Source organism: Homo sapiens, chromosome 10, assembly GCF_000001405.40.
Source record: "Homo sapiens chromosome 10, GRCh38.p14 Primary Assembly".
Taxonomy (NCBI): domain Eukaryota; kingdom Metazoa; phylum Chordata; class Mammalia; order Primates; family Hominidae; genus Homo; species Homo sapiens.
This window is the reverse complement of record NC_000010.11, coordinates 63,266,651-63,291,926: the sequence shown is the minus strand read 5'-3', so window position 1 is coordinate 63,291,926 and position 25,276 is coordinate 63,266,651. Positions and strand designations below refer to the sequence as shown.

At 39.4% G+C, this 25,276-nt stretch overlaps 1 protein-coding gene across 15 annotated transcripts in view, besides 4 other annotated features; it reads left to right on the top strand.

Moving 5' to 3' along the window:
- Nucleotides 1-25,276, top strand: part of JMJD1C (jumonji domain containing 1C) — a 354,666-nt gene that overhangs the window by 229,964 nt on the left and 99,426 nt on the right. For 4 of the 15 annotated variants that reach the window (NR_134512.2, NM_001322254.2, NM_001282948.2 and 1 more), the window contains exon 1: nucleotides 22,684-23,264. The exons of the other annotated variants lie outside the window; for them this stretch is intronic. The gene's annotated coding sequence lies outside the window, so the exon portion shown is untranslated. Of the gene's footprint in view, nucleotides 1-22,683; nucleotides 23,265-25,276 lie in introns of those variants that run through there. 15 annotated transcript variants of the gene reach the window in all.
- Nucleotides 21,008-21,508: an enhancer, noted in NCBI's record as "H3K27ac hESC enhancer chr10:65030179-65030679 (GRCh37/hg19 assembly coordinates)". NCBI's record gives its function as "activates a minimal SCP1, AML or CMV promoter by ChIP-STARR-seq in naive and primed H9 embryonic stem cells {active_cell/tissue: H9 hESC(naive and primed)}" and the evidence as "EXISTENCE:reporter gene assay evidence [ECO:0000049][PMID:30033119]".
- Nucleotides 21,509-22,009: an enhancer, noted in NCBI's record as "H3K27ac hESC enhancer chr10:65029678-65030178 (GRCh37/hg19 assembly coordinates)". NCBI's record gives its function as "activates a minimal SCP1, AML or CMV promoter by ChIP-STARR-seq in primed H9 embryonic stem cells {active_cell/tissue: H9 hESC(primed)}" and the evidence as "EXISTENCE:reporter gene assay evidence [ECO:0000049][PMID:30033119]".
- Nucleotides 22,325-22,848: an enhancer, noted in NCBI's record as "OCT4-NANOG-H3K27ac-H3K4me1 hESC enhancer chr10:65028839-65029362 (GRCh37/hg19 assembly coordinates)". NCBI's record gives its function as "activates a minimal SCP1, AML or CMV promoter by ChIP-STARR-seq in primed H9 embryonic stem cells {active_cell/tissue: H9 hESC(primed)}" and the evidence as "EXISTENCE:reporter gene assay evidence [ECO:0000049][PMID:30033119]".
- Nucleotides 22,849-23,374: an enhancer, noted in NCBI's record as "OCT4-NANOG-H3K27ac-H3K4me1 hESC enhancer chr10:65028313-65028838 (GRCh37/hg19 assembly coordinates)". NCBI's record gives its function as "activates a minimal SCP1, AML or CMV promoter by ChIP-STARR-seq in naive H9 embryonic stem cells {active_cell/tissue: H9 hESC(naive)}" and the evidence as "EXISTENCE:reporter gene assay evidence [ECO:0000049][PMID:30033119]".

Sequence of the window (25,276 nt, the reverse complement as noted above, 5' to 3'; positions counted from 1 at the left end):
CATTTCTCATGTCTATACATAGTTTATTTTCCATTTCCAGTCAACCTCCCCCACCCAAAGAAATGAAGAGACAGATTAAAATAAAAGATTAGTTGTAAACCCAGCTTTATTATAGAGACTAGGATAGCAAAAGCATTGCAAAATTGTAATTCCAGCTGGGCACAGTGGCATATGCTTGTAGTCCCAGCTACTCTGGAGGCTGAGGCAAGAGTTTGAGGCCATAGTGCACTGTGATCATGCCTGTGAATAGTCACTGCACTCTAGCCTGGGCAACTTAGCAAAGCCGTTTCTTTCCGGTTTTTTTTTTTTTTTAGATGGAGTTTCACTCTTTTTGCCCAGGCTGTAGTGCAGTGGCATGATCTCGGCTCACTGCAACCTCTGCCTCGCGGGTTCAAGCGATTCTCCTGCGTCAGCCTCCCAAGTAGCTGGGATTACAGTCGCCTGCCACCACACCTGGCTAATTTTTTGTATTTTTAGTAGAGACGGGGTTTTACATGTTGGCCAGGATGGTCTTGATCTCGTGACCTTGTGATCCGCCCACCTTGGCCTCCCAAAGTGTTGGGATTACAAGCGTGAGCCACCTCGCCCAGCCCTTTTTTTTTTTTTTTTTTTTTTTCTGAGACAGACTTTCACTCTTTTTTCCCAGGCTGGAGTGCAATGGCGCTATCTCAGCTCACTGCAACCTCTGCCTCCCGGGTTCAAGCGATTCTCCTGCCTCAGCCTCCCAAGTAGCTGGGATTATAGGCATGTGCCACCATGCCTAGCTAATTTTTTTTGTATTGTTAGTAGAGAGAGAGTTTCACCGTGTTAGCCAGGCTGGTCTTGAACTCCTAACCTCGTGATCCGCCCACCTCGGCCTCTCAAAGTGCTGGGATTAGAAATGTGAGCCACTGCGCCCAGCCCAAGCCCTGTTTCTTAAAAAGAAACAAAGTAGTTGTAATTGCAATCAGATTTTTCTTACTAAATATCTATGAGTGTTTGGACATGTTTTGAAACAACTAATATACTTAATATTTTTTCTCAATATTTGCTATCTTAAAAAAATAAAGATTTCATACTGATTTTTTTTAGCTTGTCGTTACTTTCTTCATGAAGAAATTTAAATTTCTACAGCCAGTCCTCTTCATTATTGTGACATGAATTCCAATCCTGAATATCATGAACTTATAGTAATAGCAAAATTGCAAGCATTTTGCTACAGTGTGTATTTTAATCTCTTTCCATAAATAAGTACCTCAGAGTAATCATAGACATTAGACATAAAAAAGTCCTATTGGATTATTTTGTTTGTGTCTTGCCAGTGTAGCTTTTCCCTATATTATCGCTTCAGAAGCTTTTTACCATCTACTTTTATTTATTTATTTTTGAGACAGAGTCTTGCTCTGTCGCCCAGGCTGGAGTGCAGTGGTGCGATCTTGGCTCACTGCAACCTCCGCCTCCTGGGTTCAAGCGATTCTCGTGCCTCAGCCTCCTGAGTAGCTGGGTTTACAGGCATCCGCCACCACGCCTGACTAATTTTTAATAGGGACGGGGTTTCACCATGCTGGCCAGGCTGGATTCGAACTCCTGATCTCAGGTGATCCTCCCGCCTTACCCTCCCAAAGTGCTGGAATTATAGGTGTGAGCCACCGCGCCTGGCCACCATTTACTTTTAAATGTTTTTCAGTGTTTTCAGAAGTTTCGGAAATATACAGAGTTCCCTAGAAGTCTAATATATGCCTTTTAGACCTTTCTTTAAGATTCTTTTCTCAGTTATAAAAGTTTAGACCTTCCTTTAAGGTTTGTTTTTTTCAGTTATAAAAGTTTGGGTTATTTTGACCCAAACTTCTTTTGGTGCTTTCCAAAACAGTCATGTAATTTATATATTTTCAAAGAATTGTCCTGTTTATTATTGCTTATTTGATGTAGGCTGTATTGTAATATTTGATTTTGTTCACCTTTCATTAATCTTTCCTTTAAATTTTTTTAACTTCTGTGATTTTCATACTCTTTTATTATATATTTAAATTTTATAAGTAACATGGGTACAGTCATCTTGGAATTTTTGCCTGTAATCAGGTTTTTGAATAATGAATGACCTTTCTAAAATGCCATAATTTAGAAGTATTTGTGGCATCTGTGATCTAATATTTATGTAAAATCTTGTTATAGTATATACTACTGCACTGAAAACTGTGTTTTAAAAAAATTATGAGATTCAACCAGTAATCCAGAAACTTTAAGTAATATGGATTACAATACTGTTTATTTTAGCATTAAGGTATTTGTAAATTTTCTTGGCGCTTTATTTAACAGGATTTAACTTGTAAATACATAAATTTAAACTACATGCAAACAATCAAGTAGAGCTTGTCACTATTCATGAAAAGCAAGTCACTGCTCTTGAAACTTTAATTTATAAGCTAAATCACTGCTGCCACTGCTAGAAAAAACAAATACTCCCAAAGGTGTTTAAGTTATTTTTTGCTGTTTTAGTTGATATTTCCATCCACAAATTTACATTTTTTTATTTCATTCATTTCAGATCACAAGTAGTTTTTATCATGTGCCTAGCAAAATGAATCATTAGAAAGTAACTTACCAGTCCTCTAAGAGAAAAAATGTTTATGTTTCTCTTATTAAATTTGTATACACATAAACCAAATGAAAGTCTTGTTACATGACTATGAAAAGAATGAACTGAGTAGAAGTACAATGATTTAAATTTCACTAGTTCTGGATTTTTTATAGCTGAGGTGATCTTTACTAGTGTTGTGTAGAAAACTACCCTAATTTAATGGTATTATCCATGTGTACTAACTGGCAAAGTCTCCCAGAGGCCAGGCAACGAAAAGACCCATAACCCATATTAAAATACTGGGATTCTAGAATTATTAAATCAATTTATTGCAAGAACTAAGGATATTAAAAGAATGAGAAAGCAAACGTAAAGAAAGTCTTTGTAAAAGACATGTCGGATTAAGAAAAAAGACTTAAATAAAATATACAGATTATTATCATTATTATTATTATTATTATTATTATTATTATTATTATTGTATTATTATTATGAGACAGTGTCACTTTGTCGCCCAGGCTGGAATGCAGTGGTGCGATCTTGGCTCACTGCAACCTCTGCCTCCCGGGTTCAAGCAATTCTTATGCCTCAGCCTCCCAAGTAGCTGGGATTACAGGCATGTGCCACCATGTCCAGTTAATTTTTTATTTTTAGTAGAGATGGGGTTTTGCCATGTTGGCCAGGCTGGTCTCAAACACCTTGGCCTCCCAAAGTGCTGGGATTACGGGTGTGAGCCACTGTATTCAGCCCTTGAAATATACCAATTCTTAAAACTCAACAATAAGAGCATGAACAACCTGACGTAAAAATGGGCAAAAGACATGAACAGATTAGACCATAAGATACAGCAGTCATTCCTTGGTGTTTACCCAAATGAGTTGAAAACACATCTACCCCAAAACCTAAACATGGATTTTTTTATAGGAGCTTTATTCATAATTGCTAAAACTTGGAAGCATCAAAGATGTCCTTCAGTATGTGAATATGTAAATAAGCTGTGGTACATTCAGACATTGAAATATTACCCACTGCTAAAAAGAAATGTGCTATTAAGCTATGAAAAGACATGGAGAAAAATGCATTTTACTAAGTGAGAGAAGCCAATCTGAAAAGGCTACATAGTATATGATTCCAAGTACAGTTGACTCTTGAACAATACAGGTTTGAACTGCATAGATCTACTTATACAGGGATTTTTTTTCAGTACATACAGTTGGCCCTCTGTGTCTGTGGGTTCTGCCTCTGCAATGAAACATGGATAGAAAATTCAGTATTAGCCTGGGCAACAAAATGAGAACCTGTCTCTACAAAAAATTTAAAAATTTAGCTGGGCGCAGTGGCTCACACCTGTAATCGCAGCTCTTTGGGAGGCTGAGGCTGGTGGATCACGAGGTCAGGAGATTGAGGCCAGCCTGGTCAACATGGCAAAACTCCGTCTCTACTGAAAACACAAAAATTAGCCAGGTGTGGTACAGGTGTCTGTAATCCCAGCTACTTGAGAGGCCGAGGCAGGAGAATCACTTGAACCCAGAAGTGGAGGTTGCAAGGAGCCAAGACCGTACCATTGCACTCCAGCTTGCGCAACAGAGCGAGACTCTGTCTCAAAAAAAAAAGAAAAAGAAAATCTAATCTTTTAAGGGGAAAAGAACACATATTTATAAATATTTGCAAATAATTACAGGGTATTCTAAGACTCCTTAAATGCTTTCTAAGAAAACTCAGGATGAGATCCTCTGCTCTAGAATAAGATATATGAAATTTTTCGTGTATATTAAAGTATAATGAAGGTTTTAGACTAAACATTTCTATTTCTTTTAGCCATTCATAACATAACGATTCTAGATAGACCTTCACTATCCGTATCACTTGGCTTTATTTTCTTATGTTTCTAATGTCTTTGTTTTGTTTGTTTGTTTTCTAATGTTTCTAATGTCTTTCTGAATGGTATGTCTTTAATTTTCATTTCAAATGATATCAATGTATTGAGACTGGTACTTCACATACGTGGAACGACAGCTTTAACCTTCATACCACAGAACAGTGTTGTCTCCTACTGAGTTTCTGTTTAGCTTCATCTTTGCATCACCCAAAATCTCTGAGACAGTGCTTAATACACTTTAAATGTTCCAATGAATATTTGTTGAATGAATAAAACTTCCTAATCCTTTTTTGCATCAAAAGCTGCCAAGCTGGTTTTACCACATATTATACTAATATGTACCTGTGGGCGTGGGGTTTGTATGTATTGCAACATACTTAGCCTCTTAAGTAGATGGAACCACAGGTGTGCGCCACCATGCCCAGCTAATTTTTGTAATTTTTGTAGAGACAAGATCTCCCTATGTTGCCAGGGCTGATAAATTTTTTGTTGAATGATTAACTTTACTTCTGGTTTCTCGTGTCTTCTTTTGAGGCACTTTTTCTTTGTTCCTCTTAGTATGCATAGAAAGTTGAGATCAACAATGATTGAATCTTCATCTTTTTTAAGCATCAAGAAGAAACTACTTTTGAGGTTATTCTGTTTACTATTTTTACTTACGTTCTGTTTCTGTGTATTCTGGGGAGGCAGCATTACCACTTTCCCAGGGTGCTGATTTAGCTGCTTGATATTTTTAGGAAGCCAGAATACCTTTAAATAAATATCTTCTGCAAAATACCAAAGAGCTTATTCTCTTACTAGCCCTAGATTTTTCGTATTTGAAAACCTGGTGTGTATAATTGGGTAAAGTTTAAAGGGCCTCTATGTGGTTCAAAGAGCTACATACTGAGGATGGGCAGCTTTCCAATGTAAGCTCTTGGTAAATTATTTAAAGGTCCTGTGGTTCCTGAGAAAGTAGGATGTTGAGTGAGCAAAGTGACCAGGAAACTGATCTGTTAAGAAAAGGTCTAAGTTCTGGACTGAGGTGCTCTGCTCTGAGATATATTCACTCTAGGCCAGGTGTTCTTAACCGTGTTCACGGTCGCAATGGCTGAAGCAACGGTTCCTAAAGGTGATTGAACCTCAGAACTAACCCAGAGAGCTTTTTAAACCTAAGGATTCCTGGGACCCACCCTCAGTGTAAGTTACAGAGTAAGGCTTAGATATGTGTATTCTTAGAATGTTCTCCAGGTGATCTTGAAAATTCTGAAATTGTGGAGCAAAATAGTGTGTGTCTCATGTTTCTTTTGGAGCTACAGCTTTCGTCAGATTCTTAAAAGGGTCTTTGATTCGAAAATCAAAATGTTAAGAACAGTTGCTAGAAGCCACTAATTCTCAAACTTGATAGTGTATCAGAATGACCTAAGAATTTGTTAAAGCACAGATTGCTGGACCCCACTTCTAGAATTTCTGATTTCAGTAAATCTGGTTTGGAGCACAGGAATATGCATTGTTAATTACAACAGGTCCTTGAATGATGTCATTTTGTTATTTCATTGATGATAAAAAGTATAGATTCCTAGCTGGGGCTGCTCTCAAGCAAATGGGCTTGCTGTCCAGTGTGCACAGAAAACCAATAACTATGGCATTGGCTTTTTAGAAAAGAAAGGTTTTTTTGTTTTGTTTGTTCGTTTGTTTGTTTCTGAGACAGGGTCCCACAGTGTTGCCCAGTCTCGAGTGCAGTGGTGTGATCATAGCTCACTGCAGCCTCAAACTCCTGGGCTCAGGTGATTCTCCCAACTCAGCCTCCTGAGTAGCTGGGACTAGAGGCACACACCACCACACCCAGCTAATTTTTATATTTTTTGTAGAAATGGGATCTCCCCAGGTTGCCCAGGCTGGTCTTGAACTTCTGGGCTCAAGTGATTGCTTCCCAAAGTGCTGGGATTGGAGGCTTCAGCCACTCTGCCCGGGCAGTAAAGAAAGGCTTATGGCAAAACTGGCTAGGAAGGAGACAAGAGTCAGACTCAAATCTTTCTGATTTGGGATCTGCGGCAAGTTTATGGACTCAGAGGGCAAGGGAAGGGATTTAGAAATGTTGGCTTAGCAGGGTCTGATTGGAGGGCTTCAAATTTTGCCATTTACGGTAAGTTATGTTGAGGCCAATTTTAGCCCTGTATCTTTTCCGGCCAATGGACCCCTCACTTCCAAAAGAGGTTCTGACATTCAGGTTCTGCTCCTGTCCCAGTCTGGGTTCTGAGGAGAGGAATTATTGGTTCCAGGTGTTGTTAAGTCATTAATGCTTTTTCTGTCGTGCGTGCTACATGACTTGCAGTTTGGGGCTCCATTATACCTATGAGATAACTCGACATTTTGTTATCAATGGTGTAGGCCCAGTTTGGTCACAAACTGGTTGTGACAGTGGTGCTTGTAGGGTCACTGTCCGTGAGGAGTTTGCACTTTATTTCCATGTCTGCGTGGGTTTGCTCAGGATATCCTGGTTTCCTCCCAAATCCCAAAGATGTGCAAGCTAATTTAATTTGCTTGTGTAAATTGTGTGTGTATGTGTGGCGTGTATGTGTGAGAGACAGCGAGTAGAGAGAATGTGTGTGTGTGTGTGTGTGTGTGTGTGTGTGTGTGTGTGTGTGTGTGTGAATCTTCCCTGCCAGGGAATGGCATCTTGTGCACGATTGGTTCTGGCCTTGAATGGTGAGCTTCTAGGATAAGCTCTGGCCACTCACAACTCTGAACTGTAATAATTGGGTAAATAATTAGCTTGTTTTTATTAATCTTTCTTAAATGTATGTATAGCTTACATTTATTTCAATGTTAAATATTGAATGTGCTTTGAGTCCTTATTTCGAAGTTTAATGATGTTTTTGTCACCAGAAACATGCCATAGGAACTTAACTCTTGTTTATATCAGACTGTGGTTTTGGTTTCATTATAAGTTATTCCCAAGAACCTATGGATGAAGTTAATGAAGGGTTGGTGTTTCTGCAGATGCTGCTGGTTGAGGGTTATCCTTTGAGAACCACTGGTTCTAGGCCTTGGTTAACACCACTCTCAGCCTTCAGCATCAGGCTTTCAGGATTCTTCAGAATGAATGACAGTAATAAACATAATGAAGCATAACAAAGCTCAATCTAATTCACCACTGTAAAAGAAGGATAAAGGAAACTCCAGGTCAGGTGTGGGTGGCTCACTCCTGTAATCCCAGCACTTTGGTAAGATGAGGTGGATGGTTCACTTGAGGTCAGGAGTTCTAGACCAGCCTGCTCAACATGGTGAAACCCCATATCTACTAAAAATACAAAAAATTAGCCAGGCGTGTTGGTGCGCGCCTGTATCCCTGTTACTCAGGAGGCTGAGGCAAGAGAATAGCTTGAACCTAGGAGGCAGAGGTTGCAGTGAGCCAAGATTGCGCCACTGCACTCCAACCTGAGTGACAGAGCGAGACTCCGTCCCCCCTCCCAAAAAACAAAAAAAAAAAGAAGAAAAGAAAACAGAAAATTCTCTTTTTCCTAGCAAAGTACACAGACATTTTAAGTTGACTCTTGACAAACCTAGTTCATGAACAATTGCTTCTCTATGTAGCATTTTGCTTTTCTTATTGTCAGAGTAGAAAAATGCATATTTCCATGACTACTTTAAATGGTTTTTTTTTGTTTTTTACACTGAATTATGTAACTTTTTAAGTATACCCACATTTTTCCAAGGCCAAGTAGAATACAGCACAAAGTTAAAACAAAATATTGTTTAACCTAAATGTGACAGGAAGCAGGAAGAATGATTCTGAGAATTCCTGAAATGAAGAAGAATGGTTCTATTAAAAAGCTCAGAAAGGCCAGGTGCAGTGGCTCACGCCTGTAATCCCAGCCCTTCGGGAGGCCGAGGTGGGTGCATCACTTGAGGTCAGGAGTCAAGACCAGCCTGACCAACATGGTGAAACCCCATCTCTACTGAAAATAAAAAAAATTAGCTGGGTGTGGTGGCGGGCGCCTGTAATCCCAGCTACTTGGGAGGCTGAGGCAGGAGAATCGTTCAAACTTGGGAAGCGGAGGTCACAGTGAGCCAAGATCATGCCATTGCACTCCAGCCTGGGTAACAGGGCAAGACTTGGTCTCAAAAAAAAAAAAAAAAAGGCTCAGAAAGCAGGTGGTCAGGTTGCTAATACAGGGAAGCTTTCAGATCCCCAAAGAAAAGGCAATTGTTACCAAAGCTATAAAACACTGCTACAAAGAAGTTTATTTGCTCAGACTGCTTATAGGCTATCTGAAACTTTGTAGGAAACTGCAACTCTGGAAGAAATCTTTATTATTTATGAAGAGTCTATGAAATTTTCCTGTCTCCACAGGGATGAACTTGTAAGGCTTTTGGACATCATTAGTGGGCCTTAACTTTTTTCTTTCCCAGTTAGATCTGGGACTCTTGTCTTATTCCTTTAGAGGGACAGGACTTCAGTGAAACTGACCTGAATTAAGAAAACCTAGAGGGCTGGGCGCTGTGGCTCACATCTGTAATCCCAGCAACTTTGGGAGGCCCAGGCAGGCAGATCACAAGGTCAGGAGACCGAGGCCATCTTGGCTAACACGGTAAAACCCTGTCTCTACTAAAAATACAAAGAATTAGTCAGGCGTGGTGGCACGCGCCTGTAGTCCCAGCTACTTGGGAGGCTGAGGCAGGAGAATCACTTGAACCCGGGAGGCGGCGGTTGCAGTGAGCCGAGATCGCGCCACTGCACTCCAGCCTGGGCGATAGAGCAAGACTCTGTCTCAAAAAAAGAAAACCTAGAGTTTTAGTGGGGAAGGTCTTTTAAAGAAGAAATGTTATCGAAATTTTATTGACCTGAGAGGAGATTAGTATATTTGTTTTCCCTGTACATTTTAAAAATATAACTTTGTTACCCCTTAACATGCTAGAAAGGGAAGAACTTTTAAATGAATCGTAATTTGTAATTGAAAGAAAACACTTCAGTGCCAATCTTTAATTGTGTGAAAAAGGTCTCTCTTTCAGTATAGTCTTTCTGTGTTGCATATCAGTACTTTGATATTTCACTGCTGTCAAAATATCGGCATAAGTTACCAATACTTAAAGAAATATGGTAGAAACTTGGATTACTTTGTTATTACTTTACCATGTTTTGAATCTAAATACTACTTAACATAGGTGATCATTGTCACCTAAATGTTAATCTTCTAAATATGCAAAAATAGATACTGCATCGTATCATATACTTAATGGAAATTGTGTATCTCATTTGTCCATTGAAAAATTTGGCTTCCAGATTGTTGCTGACATCATCAGTTTTAACAAACAAGGAGGTAATGGGGAAATAATTGTAGAGCCTTGTTGACTTATACTGCACAAGAAACAGATGTTTGCCAGATGGAAATGAACAAAACCAGTGCAAAAAAGGTGTCTTATTCAAGTTTCTAAGAGGACAAACAATGAAACGATTAGGAAAAACTGGAAGAGGCATATTACTAGCTTTTGACCAAAAAAGGTCAGGAAATCAGTCATATGCAAACGTATATGTCCTACTCCTTGAGGATGGTGTGCTTGACAGGACTCAAGATTGAGGACATTTTATTTTAGGTTAACCTCAGTTTCTCCTGTGATTTTTATGAGTATTAACATTTTAACACAAGCATTGCTTTTATGGTTGAGTTGATTTAATGGTATAATATTTCTTATTCCCACAGAATTATATTTAATTTTTATCCTCAAGAGGTAAAGGATTGGCTGGGCATGGTGGCTCATGCCTGTAATCCCAGCACTTTGGAAGGCCGAGGTGGTAGATCACGAGGTCAGGAGATCGAGACCATCCTGGCTAACATGGTGAAACTCCATGTCTACTAAAAATACAAAAAGTTAGCCAAGTGTGGTGGCATGCACCTATTGTCCATGCTACTCTGGAGGCTGAGGCAGGATAACCGCTTGAACCCGGGAGGCAGAGGTCGCAGTGAGCCGAGATCATACCACTACACTCCAGCCTGGGCCACAGAGTGAGACTCCGTCTCAAAAAAAAAAAAAAAAAAAAAAAAAAAAAAGGCCAGGCGCAGTGGCTCACGCCTGTAATCATAGCACTTTGGGAGGCCGAGACGGGCAGATCACAAGGTCAGGAGTTCAAAACCAGTCTGGCCGACATGGTGAAACCCCATCTCTACTAAAAAAACAAAAAACAAACAAAAAAAAAAAACAGAAAAATTAGCCGGGCATGGTGGCGTGTGCCTGTAATCTCAGCTACTAGGGAGGCTGAGGCGGGAGAATTGCTTGAACCTGGGAAGCAGAGGTTGCAGTGAGCCGAGATCGTGCCACTGCACTTCAGCGTGGGCGACAGAGCGAGCGAGACTCCATCTCAAAAAAAAAAAAAAAAAGGCCGGGTGTGGTGGCTCACGCCTGTAATCCCAGCACTTTGGAAGGCGGAGGCGGTGAATCACGAGGTCAGGAGATCAAGACCATGCTGGCTAACACGGTGAAATCCCATCGCACCACTGCACTCCATCCTGGGCGACACAGCAAGACTCCGTCTCAAAAAAAAAAAAAGAAAAAGAGGTAAAGGATCCCATGGATCCCATGCCACACAAGCATCTTGTGTCGTTTTATTTCTGTCAAGCGGGACAGCCTACTTGGTTTACTTTATGAAGTTTAAAATGGGAGATGTTACTTTTTACCTTTAATTCTGCCAGTTCATGTGAATAATACATGAAACATTCAGGAGTACTTATTTTATGCTTCTTTATATATACACAAGTGGTAGCAGTGTTTATGAAGAGTTTGGTTTATCACATTTATCTGTACTTTGCTCTTAAACACTAAGTAGATTGAACAAGATAATATTAAAATCTTAGAATTGAAAAGAATCTTTAATATTTTATAAACCATCCCCAGGCAGAGGCAGAAATATATTCCTTATAGTGACGACTTGACAAATTTTCATTCAGAATCTTTTTTTTTTGAAATGGAGTTTCACTCTTGTCGCCCAGGCTGGAGTGCAGTGATGCCATCTCGCCCCACTGCAACCTCCGCTTCCTGGGTTCAAGCTATTCTCCTGCCTCAGCCTCCCGAGTAACTGGGACTACAGGTGCGTTCCACCACACCCAGCTAATTTTTTTGTATTTTTAGTAGAGACCGGGTTTCACCATGTTGGCCAGGATGGTCTCAATCTCTTGACCTTGTGATCCGTCCACCGCAGTCTCCCAGAGTGCTGGGATTACAGGCGTGAGCAACCGCGTGTGGCCTACACTAACTTTTTAAATAATCGTACATATTTATTATTTGCCCCTCTTCTCTTCCCCAGGCAAAACATTTAGCATTCCTTCAAATGATCTTATTATTCTGTAATTTTTTTTTAAATTGATATGAAGTCTCGCCCTGTCACCCAGACTTGAGTGCAGTGGCATGACCTCGGCTCACTGCAACCTCTGCCTCCCGGGTTCAAGTGATTCTCCTGTCTCAGCCTCCTGAGTAGCTGGGACTACAGGTGTGTGCCACCACACTCCAGGTAGTTTTTGTATTTTTAGTAGAGACAGGGTTTCACCATGTTGGCCAGGCTGGTCTTGAGCTCCTGACCTGAGGTGATCACCCACTTCGGCCTCCCAAAGTGCTGGGAAAACAGGCGTGAGCCACCGTGTCCAGCCTATTCAAGTTTTGATTCCCCCCACTCCCATTTAAAAATGTATATGTAATATGTATTGGTTTAGTGTCTTCAAACCCTTCAGGATTCTTTCACATAAATTAATTAATTAATTTAGAGGCAGGGTCTTGCTTTGTCATCTAGACTGTAGTACAGTGGCACAAACATGGCTCACTACAGTCTTAACTTCGTGGGCTCAAGTGCTCCTCCTTTGTAGCTGGGACTACAGCCACATGCCACCATGCCCAGCTAATTTAAAAATTTTTTTTTGTTGTAGAGATGGTCTCACTGTCTCAAAGCAATCCTCCCACCTTTGCCTCCCTACCAAAGTGCTGAGATTATGGTGTGAGCCCCTGGCCCTTGGCCTCTTTCACATGCATTTCAAGGAAGCTAGTGCTTCTGTACATTCTACTTGAGTAGTTTGAGTTTTTAAACCTAAATGTAGGTAAATTTTTTCATTATTAAAATTTAAGGTTAATCCTTATTTTAGCTTTTTAAAATTTTTTTTCTGTTTCAATGGATACAATTCCAGATTTTCTTGATCATTTTAAAATCTAGGTCATGATTGTTTTTATCATAAGACATATTTTTAAATCACTATGTAATTTGTTTTGTTTGTTTCGAGACCACGTTTTTGCTCTTTTGCCCAGGCTGGAGTGCAATGGCACCGTCTTAGCTCACTGCAACCTCTGCCTCGTGGGTTCAAGCGATTCTCCTGCCTCAGCCTCCTGAGTAGCTGGGATTACAGGCGCCCGCCAACACACCGGAGAATTTTTTGTATTTTTAGTAGAGATGAGGTTTCACCATGTTGGCCAGGCTAGTCTAAAACTCTTGACCTCAGGTGATCCAGCTGCCTCGGCCTCCCAAAGTGTTGGGATTACAGGCGTGAGCTACCGTGCGTAGCCAGCCATTCTGTCATTTGTTAATTTGAAAATAGAGATAGCTTTCAAGCGATAATGAGTATATAAGACCAGAAATGAATGAATAACATATCACAGGTTAATAACAGTACTATTTTTTTTTTTTTTTTTTGAGATGGGAGTTTTGCTCTTGTTGTCCAGGCTGGAGTGCAATGGCACAATATCAGCTCACCGCAACCTCTGCCTCCTGGGTTCCAGCGATTCTCCTGCCTCAGCTTCCCAAGTAGCTGGGATTACAGGCATGTGTCACCATGCCTGACTAATTTTGTATTTTTAGTAGAGACAGGATTTCTCCATGTTGGTCAGGCTGGTCTTGAACTCCCGACTTCGGCCTCCTAAAGGTGCTGGGATCACACGCTCGGCAACAGTACTACTAATCAGTACTCTTTTTTTTGTTTGTTTGTTTGTTTGCTTGCTTTTGATTTTTTTGGAGATGGAGTCTCGTCTGTCGCCCAGGCCAGAGTGCAGTGGCGTAATCTCAGCTCACTGCAGCCTTTGCCTCCTGGGTTCAAGCGATTCCTGCCTCAGCCTCCCAAGTAGCTGGGACTACAGGCATGCGCTACCACACCCGGCTAATTTTATTATTATTATTATTATTATTATTATTCTCTTTTAATTGTTGTATTTTTAGTAGAGACAGGGTTTTACCATGTTGGTAAGGCTGGTCTCAAACTCCCAACCTCAAGTGATCTGCCTACCTCAACTTCCCAAAGTGCTGGGATTACAGCTGTGAGCCACTGTGCCTGGCCTATTAATCAGTACTCTTTAACCCACTGCAGATATGTAATTATCATCCAGCCTGTATTTCATTGACTTACCTATTGTAGGTTGTCTTGATAAAAGTTTTGTTTAAGTCAAGTTCCTTAAAGCTTAGTTTCAAATCTTATTAACCTAATAACTTTTGTTTTTATTAAAATGCAGGCTGGGTACAGTGGCTAATGCCTGTAATCCCAGCACTTTGGGAGGTCGAGGTGGGCAGATAACCTGAGGTAGTTGGAGACCAGCCTGGCCAACATGGCGAAACCCCATCTCTACTAAAAATAGAAAAGTTAGACAGGCGTGGTGGCGCACACCTGTAATCCCAGCTACTCGGGAGGCTGAGGCAGGAGAATCTTTTGAACCAAGAGGCAGAGGTTTCAGTGAGCCAAGATCACAAGATTGCACTCCAGCCTGGGAGACAGAGCAAGACTCTGTCTCAAAAAAAAAAAAAAAAAAAAAAAAGAAATGCAAATTACTCTCAATGAATATATTTTGCTCTTACTTGGTCAATTTGTTTTTTAAAAATTTTCATTATACTGATTATCCATTGTTGGCTCAAGATACCCCACCCAAAATATTCTGGTAAGAGACCAGAATATACCATCCCCAAAATATCTTTTTTTGCCATGTTTTGAGCTAGTTATTCTGAGAATCTGCAGACACAGGAGTAATTTTGAAAAGCTGCCCTTTTGTAAAAGAAATTTACCCATCTATAAAGGAGATCTACTTTAGTAAAAGTTACCTGTATCAGGGAAAGGGCTGCTGCAGACAACTGTTATTACCTGAGAGACTTTAGTCTGCATAACAAGACTATCTTTATTCATCATGTATTTCCTCCTCTCACTCCATTTTGTATAACTTGTGTAGACACCAACCCTTAAAAGCCCCAAGCTTCTGGGAGTCTCGGTGGCTCAGGCCGGTTGCCCTGGCACTCGGGGAGGCGAGGCTACACATTCGAGGCCAACCTGGTCAACATTGATTAAAAAAAATAAAAAAATAGAGATTACTATTTTGGCCAGGCACGGTGGCTCATGCCTGTAATCCCAGCACTTTGAGAGGCCGAGGCGGGCGGATCACGAGGTCAGGAGATCGAGACCATCCTGGCTAACACGGTGAAACCCTGTCTCTACTAAAAATACAAAAACTTAGCTGGGCGTGGTGGTGGGTGCCCGTAGTCCCAGCTACTCGGGAGGCTGAGGCAGGAGAATGGCATGAACCCGGGAGGCAGAGTTCATGAGCCGAGATCTTGCCACTGCACTCCAGCCTGGGCGACAGAGCGAGACTCTCTCTCAAAAAAAAAAAAAAAAAAGCCCCAAGCTTCTATTCCTTCCATAGCTTCAGATGCTGTATAAGCTTCAATATCTCACTCTTCAGTGAGTCTCATATTTTGTGGGACTACTGTTAATTACATACGTAATTAAAATTGGTTTCCTGGTAGGGTGCCATGGCTCAAGTCTGTAATCCCAGCACTGGGAGGTTGAGGAGGGTGGATCACCTGAGGTCAGGAGACCACCCTGGCCAATATGGCGAATCCCTGTCCCTACTAAAAATACAAAGATTAGCTGGGGCGTAGTGGTGGTGGGCACCTGTAATCCCCATGCCTGCCTCAGCCTCCTGAGTAGCTGGGATCACAGGCACCTGCCACCATGTCCAGCTGATTTTTGTATTTTTAGTAGAGTTGGGGTTTCACCATGTTGGCCAGGCTGGTCTTTTTTTTTTTTTTTTTTTGAGACGGAATCTCACTCTGTCTCCCAGGCTGGAGTGCAGTGGCGGGGTCTCGGCTCACTGGAAGTTCCGCCTCCCAGGTTCACGCCATTCTCCTGCTTCAGCCTCCGGAGTAGCTGGGACTACAGGCACCCGCCACCCCGCCCAGCTAACTTTTTGTATTTTTAGTAGAGACGGGGTTTCACCGTTTTAGCCAGGATGGTCTCGATCTCCTGACCTTGTGATCTGCCCGCCTCGGCCTCCCAAAGTGCTGGGATTACAGGTATGAGCCACCGTGCCCGGCCTCAACTGCCTATCTCTAATGTCTTGGCAATGCCATGATTTTTTTCAAAGACTACCAGTTAATGGCTCTGAGCTTGTACCTACCAATTTAGTATTCTAACATATAATTTAATCTATGATTTTTAATTACTAAAAGCATGAAGACGTTCATAGTATTGTTTATAATACAAAATTGCAAGCAGCTTTAGCATTCAACATTAAGAGAATGAATAATAAAACTAATGCTTTAATAAACTCATGCCTGTTTTTTAAGTCGTTAAAATGATGGCAATGTAAGAACATGAGAAGATTATTAAATAAAATGAGCAACTTAAAATTTGCGTGTATCCTGAATGTTGATAACTAATATGGTTGTGAGGAAAAAAAGGGCTGAAAGTGCACTTAAATAGTTAACTGGCTGGGTTCACTAAGGATAAGAATATGGGATCTTTTTCATGCATTTATTTTACAAATTTTCTCAAATATAATTATGTTACTTGTTAAGAAAACTATTTTTGGAAACAAAAAGGATCCTCTACATATCATTTAATCTTTAGTTTTTTTTAATCTCTAGTTCATATTTTCCATAGTAAAATCACTTTTTCTTGACAGAAATAAAAGTAATTAAATAAGCTTTTCTTTCTTCCAAATATTGGTGTTTTATCATCTTTCCCAATGGTCTTTTTCTGAACATAGCTTTAAAAACCCTTTATGTTGAATTGATTTTTCCTCCTAATCCTGCTTATTTCTCCTTTGTGAAAGGTGACGTATGTCAGTAAAGCAAATTAAAAATACATAAACTTATGTCATACTTCTTTTCCTTTGTACTTTGTGACTTTGCAGTTTCTTCTAGACAGGCTTCATTTTTCTCCATTCAGCGTTCAAAGTTTAAAGTTTAATTCAGCAGATGGCAAAACACTTTGCTCTCTGCCACCCATGCCAACCAGCATGAAAATAAATACAATGCTTTCACACCATCTTATGATGTAAAAATCATTCAGCTGTGAATTAGGAAATCCAAGTTCTGGTCCTAGCACTTCTATAAACAAGATTTTTGACAAACAAAGTCACTTAGACTCGAGTGTCCATTTTTTTATCTGTAAAAATGAGAGTATTTCTAACATTAAAGTAATAGGACTAAATTTTGTATTTCTTTTTTAAAAATACCTATATTTTTAGAGACAGCATCTTGCAATGTTGCCCAGGCTGGTCTCCTACTCCCTGGGCTCAAGCCATCCTCTCAGCTCACTTTCTAAGTAGCTGGGATTCCAGGGGCATGCCACTATGTCTGCTTGTATGATTGCTGCTTGATTTGTATGATTACTGTATTCCGTTCTCTTATAAAAGACTGAATACTCTGCTAGGGTAAAAATTTGGTTGTCTTTTCCTCACTATTGCATACCCTGGCCCAAAGCATGGTGCCTTGCACATAGAAGCCATTTTATACCTATTGATTGAATGAATGTGCTACAATGTTTGCTGGAGATAGGAGAGTTAAAAAAGTCTTAAGGTCCATATCTACTAGAAATCCTTGTAGAAATCATAGACTATTGAAGGTTTGAAACTGTGATACACAAGTTTTGCATTGCTTAGAAGATCTGCATGGAGTTATTAATGTTAAAAACTTTTTTGTTTTTTTTTTTGAGACTGAGTCTCGCTCTGTCACCCAGACTGGAGTGCAGTGGCACAATCTCAGCTCCCTGCAACCTCTGGCTCCTGGGCTGAAGCGATCCTCCCACCTCAGCCTCCTGAGTAGCTGGGACCACAGGTGCGTGCCACCACACCTGGCTATTTTTATTTATTCTTTGTAGAGACAGGGTTTCACCATGTTGCCCAGGCTGATCTAAACTCGTGGGCTCAAGTGATCCACCTGCCTCCGCCTCCCAGAGTGCTGGGATTACAGGCGTGAACCACTGCGTATGACCTACTGTTAAAAACTTAATCCTTTGGACATTACAATGATGTAGGAGTTACATTTTTATGTATTTTCATAGATTTTACAGTATGGCTTATTGAAAAATACTTTAATGAATTATAGTCAGCTTTCTTGTAAGGCCAGTCAAGTTGAATTCCTCCTACGATTGTTGTTCATCTTTTTTTCCACCCATATGTCTTTAAAAATATTTATATTGCTAGATCATTGAACTTGTCAGAGTTTTTTGCTTTTTTGTTTTTGAGTCTGTATAATTTTTTAAAATCCAGTGGTTTGTTTAGGCTTCCACGTGTATAAAGATGAGAGATGTATTCTTTTCATGGCCCAAGATAAATGGAACCAAAATCTTTGTTTATTTTAACTCCTAAAATTGTACATATAAGATTCTCACATTACTGGAAGGAGCAGATTTTCTTTGGGTAGGCAGGCAGTGTTGCCTTCCTTTTAGCCTCTGTTTACCTTCTGACCTGTGTTGATACATTCAGCTTGTAACCTAGAAACCAACTAAAAAGGAAGGAAGTTAGAGATGTGTATTTCTGGGCAGTAACTGGAGTAGTTTCCTCTTCCCCTAGCCTGGTTTAGCAGCCAAAAAAGGCCTTTTACTCCCCTCCTCACCTCCCAACAAAAAGAAACAAAAATTAACTTTTCACCTTTTTACCTCAGTCTAGTAAAGAAGGTATAAGCCATAAGAACAATCAATTTAAAGGACTAAATTGTGTGAAAGGTGGGATCTACCATTCTCTAATGAGTTATAAGAACAGGAGTGCATTAAGGAGACTTGAAGTAAAAGCTAGCAATTTATGCTTGATACCAAGTGGGTTCTCTATGTCATTACTTCATTATTTTTGTTTGTGTTAAAAATTTACCAGAGTACCAGACCAATTAATACCAGACCAGTCACATTAATATATTTATATTAGCCAGATATGGTGGCACTTACTTGTAGTCCCAGCTGCTCAGGAGACTGAGGCAGGAGGATGGCTTGAGCCCAGGAGTTTGAGGCTGCAGTGAGCTGATAGCTCCACTGCACTCTGGCCTGGACAACAGAGTGAGACCCAATCTCTAAATATATGTATGTCAAGCCCATTTTAAATATTTAAAAGGCATTCATTATTACCAACTAGTTGTAACTCTGCATCCTTTGCATCAAGAATTGATTCTATAGTATTTTTAGTAGTGGAGAAGCCAGTCTTATTTTAATTCAACCATGATGTAGTGTGAAATACTTTTTAAAAATGAATGTTTGGTTTTTCAGTATTGTTAATTACATTAATTTTACTAAAAATTAGTACATTTGTGTTACTAAGAATGTATGACTTTTGAGGCAATTGTATGGTTTAGCTAAGTGTACTTTGTGCTATATGATTCTGTAAGGGACTGAAGTACTTGAGAAGCAAAAATAGCTGTTTTTAAGTCTATATCATATAGTGTAGACAAACTTGAGTTTATGCAAGATTATGAGATAAATCCTGTGAAATTTTCTAATGTACAATAAATTGGGGAAATGTACTAAAGTACTTAAAATTTGATAGTTTGTTATATTAAGCTGTATTAAGCATTTGCTTTTTTTGGTTTGGTAACATGACATTGTGAGTTCTTTTATTTACATAGATTCTTTTTATTTTATGTCTGATTAATTATGAATGAATTATTAGGGTGGTTATATGCGATTTAATATCCACTTGACAACATTATTAAAAACACTTCGTTCTAAAGTTACCTTGGCTGGGAGCAGTGGCTCATGCCTGTAATCCCAGCAACTTTGGGAGGCCGAGGCGGGTGGATCACCTGAGGTCAGGAGTTTGAGACCAGCCTGGTCAGCATGGTGAAACCCTGTCTCTACTAAAAACACAAAATTAGCTGGGCGTGGTGGCGTGCACCTGTAATCCCAGCTACTTGGGAGGCTGAGGCAGGAGAATTGCTTGAACCCAGGAGGCAGAGGTTGCAGTGAGCCGAGATTGTGCCATTGCACTCCAGCCTGGGCAAAAAAGAGCAAAACTCCATCTCAAAAAAATAAAGTTACCTTCTGGATCATGCATGTTCTACACAATATGTTCTGTAAAATAAAGCCATACTTTACTCACAGTCTTAGGCTAATCATTGCCCATCTCTTTTTCATTCTTTTTATAAGTGCAAGTTCATCATATACTAAATTGAAAATATCTTTTCGGTAGTTTTTCTTGGTTCTTTTTTTTTTTTTTTGAGACAGAGTCTTGCTCTGTCTCCCAGGCCAGAGTGCAGTGGTATGATCTCGGCTCACTGCAGCCTCCATCTCCCAGGTTCAAACAATTCTCCTGCCTCAGCCTCCAGAGTAGCTGAGACTACAGGTACGCCACCATGCCCTGGCTAATTTTTGTATTTTTAGTACAAACGGGGTTTGCCATGATGGCCAGGCTGGTCTCAAACTCTTGACCTCAAGTGATCCACCCACCACTGATCCCGGCCTCTTTTCAGTAGCTAACCTGATAATTTCTGTGAAATGAAATTGATACTTCTGGAGTAGATTTAAAGGGATTATGTATGTGGTATTTAAAAAACATCAGTATGAATACAAAATTAGCCAAGTGTTGTGGTGCATGCATGTAATCCCAGCTATACAGGAGGCTGAGGCAGGAGAATCGCTTGAACCCAGGAGGCAGTGGTTGCAGTGAGGCAAGATCACACCATTGCACTCCAGCCTGAGCAACATGAGCGAAACTCTATCTCAAAAAAATTTTTTTTAATTAGCATGAATTTTTAGATTTACTGAAATTGAGATTTCTCCATAGGGATACATTTATAATAAAAGACTATTTACATCCGGGCATGGTGGCTCACGCCTGTAATCCCAGCACTTTGAGAGGCTGAGATCGGTGGATCATTTGAGGCCAGGGATCCGAAACCAGCCTGGTCAACATGATGACACCCCTGTCTCTACTGAAAATACAAAAATTAGCCGGGCACGGTGGCGCGTGTCTATAGTCCCAGCTACTCTGGAGGCTGAGGCAGGAGAATTGCTTGAATCCCCACGGGGGCAGAGGTTGCAGCGAGCTGAGATCATGCCACTGTACTCCAGCCTGGGCAACAGTGAGATTCTGTCTCAGAAAAAAAAAGAAAAGAAAAAAAAGACTATTTACATACATCTTTTTAAAATAAATTAAATATTTCTTGCACCTACAAGTGTATTTTTAAAGTTTCAGTGCATGTTACCATATATAATTCCTCTTTCATCATGTAATTTCTACAATAAAACTGAAACCATTTCAATTAAATTGTAATACAGAAGCGTGGTTGACTTAAGTATATGGCCAGCTTTCCTGCTCTAAGTCAGAAACTTACAAATTTTCGCTGGATGCTCTAAAGGTTAAAATTTAATTATACTGACAAATTAATAGACATAACCTGATGTTTTACATAGAGCCACAAATTTATATTCCATTCCATCTCTGCTCTTTGATTTATTGAGTAGCCAAAGTCAGTCTCATATCATCACGTAAGTCTCCACTATGAAACGAGAAATTACTATAAGGCCTGTCAGGGTGACTCATGCCTGAAATCCCAGCACTTTAGGAAACTGAAGTGGGTGGATCGCTTAAGTTCAGGAGTTCCAGACCATTCTGGACAACATGGTGAAACCCTGTCTCTACAAAAAATACAAAGAGTTAGCTAGGCATGGTGATGCCCACCTGTAGTCCCTTCTACATGGCAGGCTGAGGTCGGAGGATCGCTCGAGCCCAGGAGCCAGAGATTGCAGTGAGCCAAGATCGCGCCACTGCACTCTAGCCTGGGCAACAGAGCAAAATCCTGTCTCAAAAAAAAAAAGAAGAGGCTGGACACAGTGGCTCACACCTGTAATCCCAGTACTTTGGGAGGCCGAGGCGGGTGGATAGCCTGAGGTCAGGAGTTTTTGAGACAAGCCTGGCCAATGTGGTGAGACCCTGTCTCTACTAAAAATACAAAAATTAGCTGGGCTTGGTGGTGCGTCCCTGTAATGCCAGCTACTTGGGAGGCTGAGGGAGGAGAATCGCTTGAACCCAGGAGGCAGAGGTTGCAGTGAGTTGAGATCATGCCACTGCGCTCCAGCCTGGGTAACAGAGCAAGACTACGTCCTCCAAAAAATAGAGAGAGAACTTACTATTAGAGCATTCTTGTCCAGTAGAAATAAAATGTGAGCTACATGTGTGATTTTAAATTGTCTTTACATCAAAATTTTAACATAGGTGTATTAATTTTACAGTATTTTATTTAACCCAATATGTCAAAATATTAGCATATCAAAATAAAATTATTCATGAGATACCTCTTAATTTTTTTTATATTCAATGTGTATTTTGTACATCACACATCTCAATTCAGATTAACTACATTTCAGGTGCTCAGTTGCTACATATGATTAGTAACTACCATATTGGACAACATCAGACAGCAGAACTCTAGAATTTAGATAGATGTTAAGAGACTATATTATATAACACATCTGAGAAATGCATTTTATGCTTTCAAATTGTATCTTAGAACTATCTAGGTTAAGTTGTTTTTTGTAATGAGTGAAAATGGTTGAGGAATATTTTCAAATCTACCAAAATAAATATTACCAGTTTTTTTTTAGTAAAATGCCTATGAGATTGTTGAGATCATTGTCTAAAAATATTTTAAATTGATTTATTTTGAAGTTTTTAATATTTTTAAGGCAAAATGGTTATACTAATAAATAAATCGTGCCCAAAAACATACAAAGTATATTTGATGCTTTATTTTTACCAACTTGAGAGATAGTCACATGTTATTTCTTTTCTGCACTTTCTCACCTTGGTAAATCTGGAAAGCAAAAACTTAGTATTTGCATTTGCTTTATGAAGGAGACAGTAAACTTGAGCTTTCAGTCTCGCCACTAGTCTGTCTTTGTCTGTTGTTAAAATTATGAGCCAGTCTCTATGGCCGCAGCCAAATGAGTAATCACTAGTAATGTGACTCGTGCTGGAAGTGACTCCATCAGCACCTGTGACGGGGGATTAGTTACAGTTTACAGAGCACCGCCTCTTCCCTTCTCTCAGTGTGCCCTAAGCCAAGTACTCGTTCTCATTTGGGTGTCTGCACTGTTGGAAGCTACTGCACTGTGTTTCCACGCAGACAGAGTACAGTGGGAAAGGCTTTCTCCAGCTGATGGATGGCTGTTCTCTTTATTTGGAGTATCTTACTGGTTATGTAAGCGACCTCGAGAGAAATTATCCTGACCCAGATCGGAGGATGCAGTAGTGCTTCAGCTGCAGGATTTCTTAGTCGTTAACACCACAGTGCTGATGACAAAGAGCGAGTTGTAATCCTCATCACTGCCAGGGCTGAGCCAGAGCAGACAGAAAATCGTCATTTGCTCGTTGGAGACTTGTTAGGTTACAGCTCCTGCTTCGTTCTGTGGTCTTGGCTTTTCTTCCTATACAATGACGCCGCTGCAAGTGAGCTCAGAAATGCTTGGTTTGAGAGCCATTTGCCTGTGATTTTTGAAGACTAAAGAAGTATTTACACTAGATACTCTTCCAGAACAAAATAGAAATTTCAGCAAATACTTACTGACCTTTAAAGCCTTGTTGTGGATTTCTGAGATTTAAAGATACTTTAAAATTCTCAAGAACAAAGTACGGTTTGTATTTTTCTGCTTCCTTTTTCTTTTGTCTTAATTTACATTTGGTTTTTCTTCTCAGCCTGAGAAATTAAGGTCACTGCCTTTTATAAAAGATCTGGCCTCAATGTTTTTAGTTTTAAGAATTTTTAACTTTCATTTGTTTAAAAAGGTTTATTGTGTTTGTAGTAATTTAATAACTGTAAATGTTAAAAAACGAGTTTAATTGTTTAAAGTATTATGGCAGAAGTGCTTCAAATTAGGATTTTCAGACTAGTGTTTCAAGGAAAGTGGGGGTATTTGTTTTGTAAGGTTTTTTTTTGGTTATTCCCTTCCCCACCCCCAACTTGTTTTCTAACAGTATCGTGTTTTTCAATAGACCTGCTTGGGTGGGAATTTGGACTTTGTTCTTTCAAGTCACTCCAGTCCTTTTTTTTTTTTTTTTTGGTAGACTAAATCTTAACTTCTAAAATGTTGCTTAGGTTGTTTTCTGCTTTAGTATTTACCTTTGGTGAGATTTATATTAGTATTTTTGCAGTTAATAAGCCTGTTTTTTTTTTTAACTTGGAATTGTTAACTGTTAACCGGAGATTGTTAGAAACTAAGACTGCAGACATAAGCTCCTTGAATTTCCTGTTAAATGTGAAATGGTGAGCTTTAACATCGTTTGTTTGAGCAGCTGAGTTGTGTTTAAGAGCTGTAGCTGATTTATTTTAAAAATGTTTTTCGGGGAGGGCTCATCTGTTCGCGTCTTCCTCATGTGAATGGAATGTGGTGCAGCATGGAGCCCCAAACAGGATACAGTTGTTCTAAGCATTCTTCCTATAGTTTGGTAGGCCCTACTAGAAATGCAGGCTCTCAACTATATTTATTTTGGCCGTAGACTATTTTTAAAAAGTATGTTTAACACTGATAAATGACCTTAAAAAAAACTCTCACTCTAATAAAATTGAAAAAGCATTTTGTTTCAACTGAACATTTAGTGTTAGTAATTTTCATTTTGGTTTTCAAAGGCTTTTTAGAGCATTTGAATGATAGTCTTTTGTGATTAGGGCCATATTCTACTGTGACTTTCATCAGATGTTAGCTCATTGCTTCCCTTTAGGCTGTGGAAGTTACTCATAGAATGATATATCTTTAGAGTGTTGAATTAGTTATGCATGAGTTCTAGTTTCTTTACATTCCAGTGCACCTAGACCCATGAACTATTTACTACAAATTTCATCATACCAGCTGTAGGACCCATTTGTTTTTATTTAAATATGTTTTTTATTATTTTTAAACTTATAATGTTCCTTTGAAATGTACTAGACTAATACAAAAATTAGCAATACTTAACATGGTTGTTTTGCCAGTTAAAAAAACCGGGGTGTATTTTAATATCACTTCATATGTTGTTTGCCTTTCATTTTTCCTTAAAGTAGAGCAGTCACACATATTCACTGTTTCTCATTTAATAAATATTGAAACATTTCTTTTAACAAATACTATAAAAGTATTTATCAGCACTTTTTATTTGCTATTTAAGAAGCATGATATACTTTGGACTTCCACTTGTAAATGATTATAAGTACTCATGTCCTTGTAAGAGTATTCAAATTTGATCATTGTCAGCTAGTTTTCTTAGATTTCTGGTAGCCAAATTTTACTTGGCTTTCAATGAGACATCTTAAAACGTGAGAATTTTTTTAGCTTAGAAATCCTTTTTTCAAATTAACTTAGAATAATTTAAATCATTGGTCGGCTTGTTGAAATTTACCCTTAGAACTCTGGCCTACCTTGAAAAGGAGAGCTCTCTTCAGAAGAATGTTTTTCATATTATAAAATGACTAGGTCTCATAGGAAATGCAAGCCACCTGTATTATTTGCGTAAGAAAGAGGCACTCCAGAAGGAGAACTTTACTTCTTTTTCAAATCCTACTTAATTGAATTGTATCTTTAGCCACTTAGATAATACCTTTTGTGGACCTTTTTGTTAACCTTCATGAGTTGACCTGATATGGTACTGTTTGAAAAGAAATAGATCAT